Raw genomic sequence first — 19284 nt, forward strand, 5'->3', positions numbered from 1 at the left:
GTTGGAATTCTAAGTTTTTTATAAGATGAACTGCCATGCAGGTCACTTATTCTAGGAAAGTCTCCTAATAAATAATTCTTACTATTAACCACCTCCAGGGTCACAGAATATGTTTTAACCTCTTTTTAGTGCTGACACAAGGTAATAGCATCCCCTGATACTAATTCTTTGCTGTCATTAATTTGGATTGTCTGGTAACACATTAAAAAAAAAAAACAGACCAAGAAACTGCTATTTCAAGTACGAAGAAAAGCTGCATTCATTATTCAGCCATATAAGGAAGTTAAATGCTACAGCGCCAAAGCAGGCAATGACAGAAAACTAGGAATAAAGAAGTTTCTTTTTAAAAACTAGGAACATAGGGAAATAAATATTGTGTGAGAGAAAAAAGCCAAAACCAACAATAACTAGGTAGGTCAGCTACACGGAGGGACTAAAACATTAAGCATTCCCTTGCCTCTCAAACTCAGCTATTCATGGCCTTCTAGGTTAATGGAGAGTGGGGCACGGGGTGCAATGTGGTTAATACACGTTCTAGAATCCCAGAAAAGATAAATGACTGCTCTAGTTTCTCATCTTCTGAGCAGCTTGAGCATGTGTTGAGGTTACTGTCACTGCACCACAGCCTGATACATATTCCTCCTTGTGTATGAAAGCCATTCAAAGGAAGAAACAGCCCTGAATAAGACTCTATGGGAATTACAGTCAAGCAGTGCTGCTGAATTCTGGATCCACCCTTTATTAGCTGTGTGACCCAGAGAAAGTTAAATCTCTAAGCTTCAACTTCTTCATCTGTAAAATGAGTCTAATAAGAGTAGCTACTTGATATAGTTGCAAAGATTAAGTCATACGGATACTTTAAGAATAGCATGAAACTTGTTGTTTAATAAATCTTAGTGCCATCACCATCATCACCACCACCACCACCAACACCAAAAATAATCACCACTACCGCCATCATCTCCAACACTATCACCACCAACACCATCAGCATCACCATCACTACCACCTCCAACATATCTAGAACCACCACCATTCCAACCACAACCATCACTACCACCATTACCAATATATCCAAAATCACCATCACCAACAGCACCATGACCATCTTCCTCATTTTACAGGTGAGAAAGTTGACTCAGAACCTCAGTAACTGGCTGAAAGGCACAAAGCTGGTAGGGGACAGAGAGCTCAAATTTCCAAGTTTAGCGATCCTCCTAAGCCCATCTTTATCTCAGGAAATTTGTCATGGAAAAATGGTGTGGCCTTGGTTTCAAGGGTCACCACAAGGCTTCAGAATACCTAGGACCCCAGATATCTCATATGTAAGCATAGAAAAGCAAAAATAAAATCAAAAAACTATATCTGGAAAATATCTTAGGGTATTTTATTAATATGTGAATTGCTAAGTATACTGCAACACCTGGTTGCCCTGTTATCATGAGCACCAGCCTGAAAGGTGAGGGACTCAGGTTCTGCTTTTCGTTCTTACCTTCATATCTTCAACTGTCACCAAAGAACACAATGCCTATTCCCATATTTAGCCCTGTGAAGACACTATAGGAAAGAAAGAAACTGTCATCTACAGCACCAAGTCCTCAGGAGAAAGGCAGGAAATGAAAAAGAATTGTTTATTTAGCCTGGCTCTATAGTGAAACAGCTGTATAAGTCTGTGAAAAGAAAGGGCCCTGGCTTGGCTCAACCTTTGGCAAATACATGGGTATTATGTAGGCAGCATGTCGAGCCAGGAGAGGAGGCAATGGAGGAGATTTCCTCTAATGCTTCCCATATTGTTAATTGCTGCTTTCCCTCCCAGGGCCTTCTGGACTTCCCACCAGAAATCCAGGGCAGGAACTGCAAGGCACTATGGGAAGACAGCAGCTTGAGTCCTGCCTGCCCACTCAGCACCTTCCACTGGGACCCTCAGCGGGCTCACCCAAGGCAGTTACGAAGATTATCTCATATGCCACTTACCCACAGTACATTCAGCTATCTTCTCACCCTTTCCTGCCACCTGGCCCAGAGCCATTTAACTCTACTGTTGCAAGGCTAAACTTCTGAGTTTCATGGCATTTATACTGTAATAAGGGACTAATCGATGTTCTACCCCAAACAGTAAATCTCCAATGGTCAGATTTCAGCCATGGAGGAAATATGATGAAGATATTTTATAGGAAAACCTCAATAGTTCCCATGATATTACAATGTTGCCTATAGGCAATTTTCCACATCTCAGCTTTGTTAGCTGACAGAGAAGCAAAATAACAGCAAATAACCCCTTGTATGTCTTAGACCCTCAAGGTTGCTCTACTCAAAAGAATTAAGTATACTTAAATCTCCTTCCCTTGGTTAATGGTGTCCTAAGGAAAGAAAGCAAAGAAAACCTCTTCCCATTTCACAACTTAGTGTAAAATCCATTCAGATTTTACAAGATGGTGACAGAGCAATAACTCTTGAGAAAATGATGTGACAATAGCTAATTGTCAATGGCTAAGGACTCCTCAAAAGCTGCTCAATATCCATAGGATTAAAGTAAAGCAGAACCATTCCTAGAGACCCAAGGACTAGTTAACAAAGAGAAAAATAAAGTACTAACAATATTTTACTACAAATCTGTTAAATTCTCTTTAGGACCTTCAAGAGGCAAAGTAGTATGGAAGAACAAGCACATAACCTTTTATTTCAAATAGAAAAGGGTTCAAATCCTAGATCCATAATTTATTAGCACTTTGAAAAAAATTAATCTCTCTAAGTTTCAGTTTTTTCATCTGCAAGGTCACTTACTTCATTGGGCTATTATAATATCACATGTATGAAAAGCATTTGAGAACGGGAAAACAATACGATAATACCATTAGTCTTCCAAATTTTGTTTCTACACATTCCACAAACAAAAAGGGTTCTACAAATAGCAATCCTTTAAAGGATGTATTCAGGTTGGTTTAAGTACCCTTATAATGATTTAAAATCCCATTATACAAAATGTACTTTTACTTAGCCTTTCATTAATTTTGATAATGGTCCTGTCTATTGAAACTGCCCATACTCTTAGATTTACCAAGGTATGAGTCCATCTTACAATGCACATCCCATTTTCCTTTTAAATTATGCTTTTGTCCTCCAAAAGCAAATGAAAATATTTTATCTAAAATCAAGGCTTCCTATAGTTTACAAAATGTCTTTAAAATGAAATTTGTACTTATCAGAATATACACCATCTCATTATCTCCCATTTTAGAGTATAAGGAGCATATTTTTTCTATTTCTGTTATAATTCTTAGCCCACTGATGGCCACAAATCTGTAGCTTATTAAGTATGTGCAGATTAACTGATATATAAATTCTCCTCTGCCCCTAACCCAGTAAAGCAATCAGCCTTCTATGTAATGGCCTTGAATGATGACTAAGAAAAGAGCCCGTAATTTAAACACTTCAATGTGGCTGAACTATGAAATCTCAATTGCTAAGACAAAATTCCTTTACATAATGATATTATAACCCCAAGCTTTAATTAGTGCTGGAAAAATAAGATTATAATAGCAAATATGGCAATCTGGTTGACACCATAAACAACCTTTCTGCACACAATCAATTTAAGCTCCTGGCAGTACTAAATTCAGACTCATAAATGTTTTTTGGCTCTTATCCTATCTTATTTTTATAATAGCTATGCATTCAGAAAACATGCATTTATAAAAACATCTTTTAGTTATAATTTAGGTTTGCAGATGATATTATATGTGATTTGGCTCTAAAAAGACATAAATATTCTGTTCTGAAAAGATAATCCACTAAAGCAGAAATCCATTCAAATGCTAGTTATTCCATACAAATTTCTTACATTAATACATTACCTAGGAAAATTATATGTCAGTATAAAATATCATACCTCCATCGTATGCTTTAAAGGTAGCAGATAAAATTCTACTGCTATAAAGTAAAGCTTGAATATGTTGGAGTTATTAAATTGTGTGCAGAAATTAGTATGTGCTAACAGCCTTTCTTGTCTTGTGATATTTTTTCTAATATTTTTCATCATTTCTGATTTCTCCACACAATTATCCTTCTGTTCTGATCACTTCAAATTTTCTTAATATCTTCATTTCACCTTGTTTACATCTGGCTGTCTTATTGTATTTTGTTCTACTCTCAGAATTGAATTGCCATCTCACATAGCTAAGTCTATAGAGAATTCTATAGAATTCTCTAGAACAAGAAAAGAACACAGGTCCCATAAATAGCAAAAACAAAATATTTATTTTCCCTGGAATATAATAATAATTCCATAGAACCCATATACTACTGAAATTTTTTTTCCTTTCTAGTCTTTTTTCCAAAAAGAGTAAAATGTGATATAAATATTGAGCATCAGACAGCTATATTGGTTAAGATGTCTTACACATACTATTTCCTAAAGTTAATGAAGTTACAACTACACTGAAAAATATAATAGTTGTTAAAACAAAATTAAGTTTGGGTAGGCCCGTTGTTTAATATGTTATACTATGACTAGGAACCTCTGGTAAGCTGATATTCTAAGGAGTATATTAAGTAAATAATCTAACTTGCATACTCTGATTTTTCAACTCTGTACTTTAAATATATAATACTAAACGCTCATAATCTTTTAAATTGTCTTCCAAAAATAATACTATTGCTGGGCTATAACTAATTAAATTTGATTTGTATCTACATTAGTTAATTAGCCTTATCATTTTTCCAAAACAGTTAAGCTAATGTTAGACCTTGAAATACCAAACAATATTTTGTAATAATTATTACCATTAAACTAGAACCATTAAAGAACAATCATTAACAGCACTTCAAATGTGTAGATATTACCTACCAAACCACAAATCAAATTAGCATATTCTTAATTTATTTTTTATTAGCTGTTAACATTAGACAGAATTCCCTGTTGTAAGTCAAAATTAGTTGGCATTGGTTTAGTATGTGTCATTGATTGAGTTTATAAAAAAGCATGTGCTAGCTGTTAATTATATCTATTTAATGGGATTTTGCTTTGTAATTTTAAAATGTTTTGCTGAGAATATATTTTATTAGAAATTACAAGCATCACTTATCACTTATCAAATTGAAATAAATCAACTCATTTATGTGAGAATATGAATAAATATTTATAGACATTTTTATATTATAAATTTAAATGACTATTTCTACACTAAAAATAAGATCAAAGATTAGGAATCTATCTTGTTTTTGGAATCCAACAATCATTAAAGCTGTAGTGCCTCTTATTCTCCATCCTTGATCAGATTGGACCTTATTTCTACCTTTGTTAGGGACTTCTTAAAATTAGCCTTTAAATTTAGGCTTTTCCAGGAATCTCTTTATGGTGCTCTGGAAAGAATAATAAAGTCTGGCTTTGTGCACAACATTAAACAAACATTTTTTTTTCAAAGTACTTAATAAAGCTTGGTGGCGCCATCAGCCATGTTTAAGTACTGTAGGTTTTGAAGGAGGACATCTTTCAAGATTAACTATGTAATTTGATGAGATATAAATTCATTCTTAAAGATAAGTTGGGTTTAATCTACATAGTCTGACTCCATTGCACGATGACAAACTCTTTCACTTGGATCTGACTGTATGGAAATAAGACAACTGCCAAAGGAAAAATAATCCATAAAAAAATAATGTTTTCTAAGCTGCTAAGAGGGCAGCACAACTCCATTTGACCCAGCAATCCCATTACTGGGTATATACCCAAAGAAATATAAATCATTCTGTTATAAAGACACATGCATTTGTATGTTCATTGCAGCACTATTCCCAATAGCAAAGACATGGAATCAACATATCTTTGATAATATGTTTTTCTAGAAACCTTGTGTTTGAATCTTGGTGCTTAATTTAAGGTTAAGTCCCAGCCAAACAAATCTGTACAATCAACAGACCTATTTAGCATCTACAAAGCTTGTCAGTAATACAACTCTACGAAGTCAAGATGAAATCTCTTCAAAATTAAAAATCTAGAAAAAAGAAAAATGTAGGGCTGTAATTTCATTCCACTTATAAGTTAAATGCTTTGCCATTTCTAAAATTTCACATTTCAATTAAGCAAATGAAGTATAGTAACAATTTTATAGAGCAAGAAACTTGCGATTGATCTTCAATACTCCTAAGAACATATATATAGAGATGGCATGAATTATTAGCCAATTTTCACCAACTCCACCAATGTTTACCAATTCTCACAAGAAATCTAAATTTCTAAAGATGGAATGTGGCAATATTCCTTCCAATTTAATTGCATAGGATGAATGTTTTAAATGGAACTTGGCAGAATAAGTTATTCTATCAAATCAATGTCAATCCTTTTTAAAAATCCTTTTCCTTATTCTTCTGCATCGTACCACCCAAAAGAAGGTTATTTATGGTTTGGTAAAAGTCCTGAACTGCAGAATAGATAGGGAAAGACTGCTTTTCAGATAAACCAGTATAGAGTCCTTATTCTTAAGAAAAGGTAAGATTAAATTTTCAAAAGAAAATATGCTTAGTCAAACAAACAAAACAAAACACAGATTTAAGTTGTTTTAAGGGCTACCCTTATGAGTTCATTTAACGACATGAAATATACCTTTAACAACACGCAGTACACTTTTAGATGGATTACAAGTGCTATCTACTACAGAAGGGTTCAATAATTGAAATGATTAGAAAACATAATCATTAGGGAAAATATAATCAATAGGGAAAGAATTCCTAGCAAAGGAATAAAGTTCATTTGTGTTAACCTGGGCACACATGAACTTTCCAATGCAAGACCACTGAAAAAATTCTTTCTTGGATATGAAGGATATTAATTTGCTACTAGATCACTATCTTTCAGTAAAATAAGTATCCCAACAAAACACATCTCAATAAGTGTAACACTAACAACATTAGAATTAACATAAAATAGATATTAATCAAAACACTTTGCTCCCTACAAACATCAGAAGATGGATATTATAATCCCTGCTTTGCTTGATTTCATTGTGATATTGTACTCGACACTACTTATCACTATAGTATAACAACAAAGAGATGTAAAGACACTGGAAGGCTCTCTCAGGAAAATCTGTTCTCTCTGCCCATCCCCTCCCCCTTTTTGGTTTGTTTTCTCTCACTTTCAGTAGGAGAAATTTCATATTTAAAGAGCATGCATTCACCATTTGGCATATCATATGCCATTATCGTAAGAGTTAACTATTTTCGAACTGTATTTATATATTTATTTTTCTTCCCTGAAATTTCTAAATGTCCAGTGCTTCAACCAACATAATCATTCATTTTAACGTCGTTTGTTGTACTGAAGATATTATAGTCAGCCTCCCTCCCTCTCTCCCTCCCTCCTTTCCCCCCAGAAATTGTTCATAGAGTCAAATTTTCTGGTTTGCTTTTGGTGAGTTGAGTGCAACACACTTTCCTAGGCAAAGGGGGAACAGCCCTCTAAATATCAACTCTCAGTCGAAGAATCACTTAACAACTGGGTACTTCATATTACTACATGAGCACAGTGCCACTGTAAAGTACCACGAGGAAGAATAAATTTTTCCTTCTTTTCTCTGACCTGCTCCCTGACAACTAGACACGTGGACAGAACCTTATTTCTCTCTCCATCACTGTATCAGTGGGGTACAGGGTTTGTTTAATAAGGATGTAAAATAAAACCGGACTTGAACTACAAAAGGGCTGGATGGCCTTTCCCATGTTGGCATAACACTGAAGAAGCAGGATTGGTTATGAAGTCATAATTTAGCATTGGCATTTAAGCAGAAACATTAACTTATATTGTCACAAAACACAATGTCACATAAAAGCCACAAAAATATTTTCAGCCAGCCCTGGTAGCCAAGAAATTATTTTCAGGGTGTTTCCTTTTTGGGTTTTCCCAATTTGTACTCAGAAACGAAGTTAGAGACCTATTGTGATGTTTTAAATATTCCTTTTCTGAGTATATACCATGTGATTCAAAATAGAAGACCAATTTCTCAGCCTGTCTTAAGTCATCTGATAAACTGTGTCCCATCACTCATTTTATCATAGTCACAATGTAGTTAAAATGTGTAAATGTATAAAAGTAAAAATAAAATTCTGATGTAAATAAATTTAAGATCTCTGTGTGCAGAGCATATTGATAACTGGCACCCAAGCAAAGACTGATATCTTGAAAGGGATCTTGTATAAAAGCTATTCCATTCCTTGCATGCTATTTAATTTAAAAAATGATGCACAGACTCACATTCATAAACACACTGAACCACACACACACACACACACACACACACACATATATAATATAGAACTTACACAATTTCATCATTCTGGAATTCGAGCTCTCCACAAGTGTCCTCAAAATCCTCCCCTCCACCTCTGGCAGTCCCTTCGATGGTTTTATATGGAACGATAACATTTCCTCGAGCTCCAGATGTTCTCAATACTTTCACCTCCATGATGCCAATGCTCTCACTCACATGAGTCACAGGTTCCTCAAAAGTAAAAATGCCTGCGTGGTCATCATCAAAAATAGTTACAGTGGCAGTGGAGGGAGATCCGAGGCAAGCAAGTGTAGAAACATGATTGGCTTCCAGTATGCCATCTTCTGAAGCTTCAGAAGATACTTTGACATTGCTGAGATGCACAAGGAAATTTTCATCCTCCTCAAAGATATCATCATCTATGATACCCACTCTGATTTCCTTCTGGGTATCACCAGGCTTAAACACCACAGTTCCTTCAGTAAATTCATAATCAGACCCAGCATTTGCTGTGCCATCCTCTGTTCTGAAGTCAACAAACACAGTGTTAGTCAAATCACCACCTCTGCGGATAATGGTAAGGGCCACAGTACCACAGTTCTCCAGACACTGATATGTCCCTTGTTCAAAGAAGATCTTACTAACAGGGTCATTTTCAGTCACTTCAGTGTTGACCTCGTGCATGCTGACAGCCTTCCTTGCTTGGTCAGCTGCATGCCTCTTTAAAATGTTGCCAGCTCCAGTCATGAGGCGAGTAGCTTGAATGCGATAAAATGCTCTACTTTTTTGCTGCTGACTTAGGACTTGGTAGTTAGCTAATTCTATTAATTGCTCTATTTCTTTATCTGGATGCTTCTGCTTAAGTTCCTTCAGAATCCTAGCCATTTCTCGCCTAGCTTCTTCATCATCTTGGTCCCTCTCATCCACCTCCAGAACCAGAGCACCATCTAAGAAATTTTCAACATGAGAATTGACCACTTTCCCGTCCATTTCAATTTCAGTCTTAGAAGATGGCCTGTCTCCTTCATGTTCAATAATCATCCCCCTCTGCTTGCCAGCTCGATACCTCTTGTAGACATACTTGTAAAACAGAAGTCTCCTATCCGCTACCCAAGCGAACACAACACAGATGGGAAAGAAGAAGAAAGTAAGCAAACCTTCCCAGACCTCCACAACACCAGGAGATATGACAGACAAAATAATGTAAAGCCAGGTGTAGGCAAAGATGCTCCAGGCTGCTGTCACAAAGAAGACACGCAAATGCTTAATCTTCCTTGTCTCTCCGTCAGGCACCACATAAACACAGAGTGCAATAATGATGAACATATTGAATGCAGCACTTCCCACGATGGTGCTAGGACCGAGGTCTCCTGCAGTGAAGTTATGGCCACACACTTCAATTACTGAAAGGAGAATCTCAGGAGCAGAAGATCCCAGGGCCATCAAGGTCAGGTTAGAAACTGTTTCATTCCAGATCCTCACAGTTGTCTTGGTGGTCTCTCCATTGGGTTTCTTTATGGTTATTTCTTTTTCTTGAGATGTGATGACTTCTATAGAGGACATGAACCGATCAGCTATGATAGAGACTCCAAGAAACATGTAGACCATGGCCACAAAATACACAGTAGCTCTAGCAATTTTGTCCCCAAAAGAAGGGTCTTGGGGTTCCCAAATGGGCAAAATCACCCCTTTCTTACAGTAATATGATCCAGTACATTCACCAGTTTCATTTCCTTCTCCTTCCATTTCTGTCTCAGCAATTACATGGTCCACATGGGAAAATAAGAGACTCACAGTAACTAACAGATGAAATCCCATTGAAAAGGTGGGTGAAAGACTTAATCGCCGCATGTTGTACATGACACTTCCAACTGTCACAACCTACTGGTAAAAATAAGATGGGGGAGAGGGCAGAAAAAAAGTCATGTCATTAGAGCTGCAGCCAAAGCATTACTAATTACTTATTTTTATTACTCTTACCAAAATTTGTTTATATTTGACCATCACAAAACCGAAATTTGTTTATATTTGACCATCACAAAATCTATGGTGAATGATTGTTCTAAGACTCCATCAGTGACTAAGCAATCCTTTGTAAAGTTTACAACTCAATCTTTCTGTGAATTTACTACATGTAGTACCCATTCACTGAGCAAGATACACAATTGACTTACTGGAAAGGAAAAGTTCAATTTATATAGCCTTGCCTTATTAAACACACATTTATGCATGCTAATAGCCAAAATCACAGGACTTTTGAAGCATTAAACAATTTCCTCCTTTTTACTAAAGCAGATTTTCTTCTAAATTTGTGTTAGTACATCATCTTCCAAAAACGGTTTCAATGCCAAAAGCACCTTATTACAATTGATGCTTTGAAAATCAGACTCCGAAAAAATCCCACCAACACAAGGCCTGGTGATTATCTTAAACGCCAGAGAGCATCTTACACTGTATTTCATGAAATCATGTCCTATTGCTCCACACTTACTTGGAAACAAAACTTCAAGCTTGCCTGAAATCAAAGCTCAATGGCATTTGTTCTTGAGGAGAAAAAAATTCTGCTATAATGCAATATTTCCACACATTAAGTACAGTTTTTAAAAGCATGTTTTGATGAGAGCACATTTCTTTCTAATTTTCAGCCAGCCCAGGTCTGCTGATACATTAGCAGCTGGGCATCTGGTTCTTCAAGCACAGCTCTTCACATCTGTGTACAGAGCCTGTTTTTCTGCAGGCTGGAAAGGGAGATAAACAGGCCAAGGCCTAGTTGTGGGTAAGCGCCTGGCAGGCTGTGGAATCAGCGTCACCAACCTTAAAATGTTCCTTCTCGGTGTCGGTCATATTTTCCATGGTCATTCTAAAATACATATTAGTTCTGTCGAGGGTTCAAGTGACCAAAAAATGCAGGACCAATAATTCCATTTAAATTAGCTCATGTGGCATGACAAGAGTGACCACAAAATATACACATGATGAAGGACTGTAGGCAAGGAGGGCCATGGCAACAGAGTCAGTGAGCAGCACACAAAGCTTGGTAGGCATAGCAGTGGACTCAACCACCATGGCCTTAAGTCCACCCACCAGCTCAAGCAAAACTCTACTCAGACCTTACATCCCTTCTGCTTCCAGAACCTGGGATGGAGGTGAGGGGAAACTGAAGTAGAGGAAGGTCTGCTCCAAGTCAAGGTGACTGTCTCCCAGGCCTTGCAGGATGGACTAGTTATGACATCAGATAAAGCAGCAATAGGAAGAAGCCCTGAGTCAGAACATACCCTTATGTCCTGGAAAAAGTTAAAAGAGGAACTGGATTACAGGCTTTCATAGCTTCGGGCTGGCTGAGAGCCACCCCACATTCGCCTACACTCTCTGGCTCATGTTTGCTGCTGATGGCTTATACTGCAAACTGCACCAGTGCCCAGGAGAACACCGCTGCCTAGGACATTCTGGCAGACCCTGAGAGATCCCACCATAGACTAAAGCCCTTTATAGCTCATCACTACAGGGAGATAAGCTTCTTTGACATTTTTCCCATACTAAAGAAAATCAGAGGAGGGTTATAGCAGTAGAATTCAAAACTAAGTAAAAGGCTGAAAAATAGAGGTAGCATATTTTCAAAATATGCAAAAGTTCTGGTCAGTATGTCTGCTTGTTCAGTCTTTGAAAGGCTTTGAGATTTCTGCTTGAAACAAGGTGAAATTTAACCATCCTGCAAGAATGTTGGAAGATCTAGTTCCAACTCCCTTGTGTATCCATTTCATCCACAATATTTATGCATGCTTAATATGTATTTTAGAAAGACTTACTAGTCTGTCTTCTAGATCCTGAGAATTCACCAGTGATAAAACAAAGTCTCTGTCCTCACAGAGCTTATATTCTAATGGTGGAGGAAACAAACAAATATAAATATCAGAAGGTTAAAAACTCCTATGGTACATGTGTGTGCAGAACAATCTATAGAGGACAAGGAGAGTGTGAGATTGTGTGTGTGTGTGTGTGTGTGTATGTGTCAGTGTGTATACACGTGGGATGCATGATTTCATACTAGATGGTTAAGGAAGGCCTCTCTGATAAGGTAACACTTGAGCAAAGTCCTGAAGGACACGAAAGATCAAGTTTTGTGGATATCTGTAGGAAAAGAATTCCAGCAAGTGCAAAGGTCCTAATGGGAATCATGCTTGGCACAGTCTAAAAACACAGAAAACCAATGTAGCAAGAGGGTAATGGACCAAGGGGGCAGGGCTCAGGAGTGGGAATGGATCAGAGAACACTGAATTGCCATAAGGCATGGGCTTTGATGGGGTAGAAGATGAGAATCACTGGGAGGTTCTAATCAGAGGGTGATATGATCTGATTTTTCTTTTAGAAGGATCTCTCTGCTGGTTCAGTGCAGAAAAGACTGAAGGGGCAAGGGTGGAAACAAGGAGACCAGATTTTGCCTACTATATAAAATCTAATTTATAAGTGATCCCAATACTTGGCAGGTATACAAAATGGTACAGAAGATATTTAACATTTAAAATGGTGAAAGAAATGTCTTGGGGACCTGAAAGAATCAGAAAGGTGAAATATTTGTGATAAATAGTAGTACTGAACATAAACACTGAAGGGAGATTCAAACCTGTGTCTGTCTCCAAGACTGATATAACTAACCACTCCCTTCAAATTACTGCCAAATCGCATCATTCCATTCTTCACGTTTCAGCCAAAATGAAATTCCTAAAGTGCAGATCTGACACTCTTCACGTCCCTTAAAACTCTTCATTGGTTTCCCACTTCCCTGAGGACAAAGCTCAAACCCCTCAACAGGCTTTCTAAGACCTTTTATGATCTGGCATCTGAGCTCCAGAATATGGAAATTATTCCCATTCCCTGAACAAGGTAACAATTTCTTACATCCAAGTCTTTGCAGATTATTCTGTGTCCAAAACTATTTTGCTTTTTCCTTCTTAGAAGCAAGTTTCAAAAGAGCTGAACACCAAATTATAACCAATTTCCTGAGAGAATACTAGATTCCATTCTTAAACAGTCACAGATACCATGCTAAATTGTCTCTATACATATCAATTATATTTAATATTTCCATTAGCCAGCATTGCTGTTATAAAATGCCTAGTGTTGCTATTTCCATTATAGTCCATGAGAACAGCACCCCTGGAGATGTGCAATGCACAGTACCCTAACAATAATCCTAAATAGTAGGTACTATTAGCCCATTTGGAGGTTGGATAACTGAGGCTTAGATAGGTTAAGTACTTGCTGAAAGTCATACAGACAGTAAACTCCTCAACTAAGACCCAACCCCTGGTCTTTTTCCAAGACTGATATAACTAACTGCTCCATTATATCATCCCTGATAGTGTGTGAAGTAATCTTTGAGAACTATTGGGGTTGGCTTGGACTAGCCCGTTGGAAAGCCTCTTGGCTTCCATGCAGGGTCAGGAGGGCCTAGTTAGCAAAAGTCTTGTGGAAGGTTTCCAATAGCCTGGCTTTTATCTTATGCATTAGACTCAAACAGACAAGCATCAATAACTGTGATGTAACATGAGGGCTAGCATGTTCCTAGAGACAGCTGCCCTTCAATCTGGTCTTTTAGCAATTGCCTGGCAACCTCTTCCTGCATGCACTGTCAGGGCAATCTCCTGGGCCAGCCAAGAAAAAGCCCTGCCCTTTATCCCTTCCCTAGCCCACATCCCACAATATGTTCTTAGCCAAAAGGTCACCAGATGTCTAAAGGTAGACAGGTCAGTAAAAATCCATCATCATTATCAGAGAAAAAGGAAGGGGGCTTCCGGTGTTAACTAAAAACATTACAATTATATTCAAAAGAGAGCAGTATTATAATTTGTGAACAGTGGACACAGCACACTGATGTAGCTTATTGGCAATGAAGCAATTGGAAAGAACTCTCTGGACTTAAATTTCTTTTTCTTATTAAATTAATACCAAATTCAAATGCCCACGAAGATGTGGAATAGATGTTATCTAAATGTGAGTTCCTTCTTCATCCTTTTGTTTTCTTTCTTTCGGGGTCTTTCCTCTATCATCAGATTCAAAGTAGTTCTACTAAACTCTCCCCATTTTCCCTCAAATATACATTTCCATACAAATTAAGCAGAAAGATAAGAATAGAGACTGTGGATATGTTGATTTGCTGCCTGGCTTTCTTATATTCTGCCTTAATTTACCAATACAAAGTATAGGCTGATTTTTATGGTGGATTCAGATCAACTCGTACAACTGTGAGCAGTACTAACTTAAAATATCCATTACATCATGAAATGAGACTTTAGCACAGTATCAAGAATACCCAAATTATCTTCTGATCACTATTTATTTTAAAACAACACACAACCCATCACCCACAGATTACAGACCCAAATGACACTGACAAAGGATGGTAAAAAGATATCCAGCTGTGAGTAGTCCAGCCAGTTGTGTCGGAGGAAGAGGTCACAGCTACAAGGAATAGAAACCCACATCTACAAGAGATAGATCCAACTGCTTTGTAAAGGAAGAGGGAGAGCTTTTGGAGCAGAGGCCTGAAGAGTGGTTGGCAGCACGGTGACCATTCCCTGCTGGAAGCTATAGCCAGTTTTGACTACCAAGGAGGACGTGACTCAGAGCAAAGGCATATGCTGGCATTCCTAACAGCCCAATATATTGGACAGTCATCCTAATGGCATCCTCTTGATTGGCAGCTGGGGTTATTCCAAGGAACTCCTTGATGGCCTTCATCAGTACTTGGAATTCCCTTCTATGTAATTCTTGCTGACTGAAAGACTCAAAGCTAAGCAATTAATCTGTTTCTAAGGCAACATTAAAGCAACCATAAATCCTTATCCACTACCAAGGCAAGCACTTCCAAATGTTTCTAGACAAAGAGATGATGCCAGAGGATGAAGGCTTTTCTCATCTGACCATCTCACCTAAAGTGAAAATTACTGCCCTGGCTCCAGCCTCAGGCTATCAGACCATGGCCAGATTTCAGGAAAAAAAAAACCTCATTTACACAGAGACCCTCTACTAATACCTAATTTTCCCTTCCAAAGAAAGTTTCCTCTCTGCTGTTTAATACTTTGGGACAGGTGCCGAAGGGGATGGGCTATGAGCGGTCACATCATAGGCTCAAGCCTTTCTCTTAAACTCACAAAACAGAAGTCAGGCCCCTGCCTTATGACCAAAAATACCCGCTGAAATTGTCCAGGAAATGAAGAAACTAGGGTGAAGGTAGGCAATGTGGTCACAAAAGGAAAGATAGACTTAGGATATAAAATAACGAAGTTGTTGAAAACTCATGAGATGCACTGTTGGCCCTTTCCCCTACTTTATTTTTCGAGATAGCACTTATTACTTTTTTGTTTTTGTTTTTGAGACATAGTCTTGCTCCTGTCGCCCAGGCTGGAGTGCAGTGGTATGAACTCGGCTCACTGCAGCCTGTGCCTTCTGGATTCAAGCAATTCTTCTGCCTCAGCCTGCCAAGTAGCTGGGATTATAGGTGCCTGCCAACCATGCTCGGCTATTTTTTTTTTTTTTTTTGTATTTTTAGTAGAGACAGGGTTTCACCATGTTGAACTCCTGACCTTAGGTAATCTGCCTGCCTCAGCCCTAAGTGCTGGGATTACAGGCATGAACCACCACGTCTGGCCAGCTCTTATTACTTCTTACATGCTATCTATTTTATTCAATGGTTCTATTTATTGTCTTTCTCTCTTCAAAAGATGCAACTCTCTAAGGGCAGGGATTTTCATTTCTTTTTTTTCATTGAGGTATTCCCAGTTCCTAGAGCACAGCCTGGCACTTAGAAGATGCACAACATCTGCTTATTGAATGAGTAAAGTAATGCTCACAGGGTCACGTGCTGATTCACCAAATCTCCAGTGGTAAACCAGAATCTGGGAAATGGGCCTAAGCATTTGCAGTTAAAAAATGTTGTCTGTGTGAAATGGTTGCACCCTAACATGAGCAGAGTTCAAAATCAGATTGTAAAGTCAATGTCAGTGTTAGGAAGAGAGGAAACACATGATTCAGACTCATGAGCAAAGACTCTTGGGCTGGAAAGACTGATCTCCAGCATAACGAGAGCACCTGGGCCCTGACATTTTCCCCACAACCTGGGTGTGTGTCTTCCAGCATCAGCCCTGGCTTGCTTATTTTATATGCTCTGTTAAGAGGGCCCTAACACTTTGGACATACTCAAGGAAGTACATCTTCCCATCCTTCCAATACAATTAAAAGACACATATTCAAGCACAACAAAAATCACCTTCATTGTAGAGGCCCTACACAAGGGAAAGAACACCAAGCATTTAAATTTAAATATTAATCTGCATGCTAACACGGAAATATGGGTAGAAAAAAGAAAGCTGGAGAAGAGAGAGTCTTTCAATAGAAAATAAATAAAAAAGAATGTAGAAGGAAGATGCTCTGATAATCTTGGGCTCCATGTGAAGTTAGCCAGGTTTGTCCTCTAATTCATTATGCCAGAACCACAGAGCAGGGTTTAAGGGCCCTACTCAGGGCACTGATGGCAATAATGACTGAAATCATGGACTGAGCATCTACTTGTCCCAGGTACTGTGCTAATTACTTTGTATTCACTGTCCCTGACTTTTCTGACGATACTACAAGGAGATATTATCATTCGCATTTTACAAATGAGAAAAATAAATGGTTCATGAAAGTAAGCTGGCTAGAGTCATATATACTTAAGTGACAGAACTAGAATTTTAATTCAGGCATTTTGCATTAAACTATAACGATTTCCAAAATGGCAGACACATTTTATTTTCACGACAATAAGTTAACAATGTTTTCTGGGGACAGAGAGCTCAAGATTTAGGTACTTAACCTGCCATGCTGCCCCTTCTTCCCACCTGAATAAATGTGTGTAGGTTGCATTAGCTCATCAAGGAGCCTCACATGTTTCCACTCCTGCCTGATGCCTTCCCACTCCCCAAGTAAGTATTGTAAGCACTTCTATTCGTCACATAGCAAGGGAAAGATGATCCATGTGAAGGATCATCAGCTGAAGACAGAGGTCTGAAATCACTCCAAACTCATGTAGTAAACTCAAGGTTTTTCCATTTGGTCAGGAGAAAAGCAAATGAAGAAAGAATCCCTAGCAGTAAGCAAGCAAAACTAAAATAAAAGAGGGGAACGGATAATGAACGGGAGCCAGGGAGAATGATACAGAATGTTGCTATAACAAGTAGGTTAACACTTTGCTCTAATAACAATAATTCAGTATTTTTTAAAATAGAATTTCATTGCAGCTCAAAAATTTACTGTCTTGGGGGTCATTTTTCTTAACATCTTAAATTTAAGCCAATAAGTAATCCAAAGAAATGCAAAAACAACACATTCGTTTATGGTTTTATCTGCCAAGCTTTTCTTAGCCACTCATATATGCCAGACACTGTGTTTCAAAGATAAATAAAACATATCTCCAAAGGAGCTTGTATTCTAGTGGGGCACTGGCAGAATCAAGGAGTGAGTCCCTTCTGTGGAAACCAGGACCCTTCCATTACTAGAGATTCACTGAAGAGAAGAGACTTTCCTGGCATTTGAACATTGACACTGAGCACTGAAGTGGACTACCTAGTCCCCAGGTTAACGTACCTTGAGTCTTGAGTTAATAAACCCAGCATTCTAGAAATCTCGGACTGCTCAGACTGTGGTCCTGCAAGCTAGAGATTTCAATTATAATGAGCTCCCAGAGGCAGAGCCTTGGACTCTGTACATCTTTCAAAAGCCTCCTGATAGACAATGGTAATTCTTTCACATAATAATTGTTCACCACTAACCCTGAAGAGAAACAGCAGCCTTTCTTTGATGTTTGACCTTAAACACTGAAAAAGAATGAGGTCATATACATGCTTTTATATCTAGGTCACCAAAAAGGATTTTCTACCTAAAAATATTTCCCCAATAGCTGGTTGACATTTAATCTTAAAAATCTGTATATATAGTGAGCCCTTCCTATGTTTCTAGTTCTAGAGGCAATGAACCCTTCATTTATTCATCAAGCCTCTATGGAGTAGCTTCTATGTGCAAAGCACCATAACAGACACTACAGGGATTGCAAATATGATTGACACGTGGTCCCTGTACTTACTAAATTTACAGTCTGCAAGCGACAGTTACTCCAATGACCATTAATACTAGGAAGAATTGACAAAATGTCATAAAAGGAAGGGATGGGAAGGATGACAACGGCTAGAGAATGTGACAGCACATTCTAAAAGGAAGAAATGATATGGACAAAGGCATAGAGCAATGATTCTCCAACTTCAGTTCACCTAAGAATCACCTGGCAAACTAATTAAAATGCAGTTAACAGGGCCCTATAATCAGATACAGTTGAGGAATCTCCAAATTTGAATTTTAACAACAATCCCAGGTGATTGTCATGTAGGTGGTCTTGGACCACCCTTTGTGAAGTGTAAGGCAGAAAGAGCAGAACTGAGTAGAAGCACAGGAACAGCACACAGGGCATGGGGCTTGTTTAGCAAACAGACTGGAAGTGCGTGTCTGAAAATCAGAAAACAGTGTTTGTTCTAATATCAGTAAGATGTTGATGTTAAGTAATATGTCAGCTGTGCTTTCCCTCTCACAGACTGGGTCTCCAGGCAGGATCAAAATATGAAGCCCCGTAGTGAATATGTGTCCAGGAGGTGGGGGACTAGAGGGCAGAGGAGGACAGATCTTAATAGGAGAAAAGAGGGGCCCCAAAAGGGAGATTAAAGCACTGGAGGTAATATAAAGTTCCTACTTCATGATGTTGCTGCAGGTGTTTTGTCTTCTCTAAGAAGAAACAAGCAAGGATTACTAGGTCACTACATTGGCAGGTGACAAAGACTTAGGATAAAGGGACATCTTCAGAGACCTATTCAGTTTCTATATCCAAACCCTAAGTAGAGGTAGAAAACATGCAGAAACATGAACCCCAAAATGAAGTACTGGGTGGTAAGGAAAGCTGTGCTCTTCAAATGACAAGTTCTTTAGGGGGCAGCCCCTA

The 19284-nt window shown here is 38.2% G+C and overlaps 1 protein-coding gene across 23 annotated transcripts in view, besides 1 other annotated feature; it reads right to left on the bottom strand.

Moving 5' to 3' along the window:
- The window catches only part of SLC8A1 (solute carrier family 8 member A1), a 415166-nt gene that overhangs the window by 322887 nt on the left and 72995 nt on the right, over positions 1-19284 (bottom strand). For 14 of the 23 annotated variants that reach the window (NM_001112802.2, NM_001372263.2, NM_001351494.2 and 11 more), the window contains one exon: positions 8317-10148. In NM_001112802.2, coding sequence (NP_001106273.1) covers positions 8317-10124 — 1808 coding nt within the window. In that variant the 5' untranslated portion in view covers positions 10125-10148. Of the gene's footprint in view, positions 1-8316; positions 10149-19284 lie in introns of those variants that run through there. The other 9 variants (NM_001394106.1, NM_001394103.1, NM_001351493.2 and 6 more) reach the window with 1 other exon arrangement.
- Positions 14343-15542: an enhancer, noted in NCBI's record as "MED14-independent group 3 enhancer chr2:40661639-40662838 (GRCh37/hg19 assembly coordinates)". NCBI's record gives its function as "activates an origin of replication core promoter dependent on BRD2, BRD4, P300/CBP and CDK7 cofactors, and independent of MED14, by STARR-seq in HCT116 cells {active_cell/tissue: HCT116}" and the evidence as "EXISTENCE:reporter gene assay evidence [ECO:0000049][PMID:35650434]".

The sequence above is a fragment of the Homo sapiens genome, chromosome 2, assembly GCF_000001405.40.
Source record: "Homo sapiens chromosome 2, GRCh38.p14 Primary Assembly".
Lineage (NCBI taxonomy): Eukaryota > Metazoa > Chordata > Mammalia > Primates > Hominidae > Homo > Homo sapiens.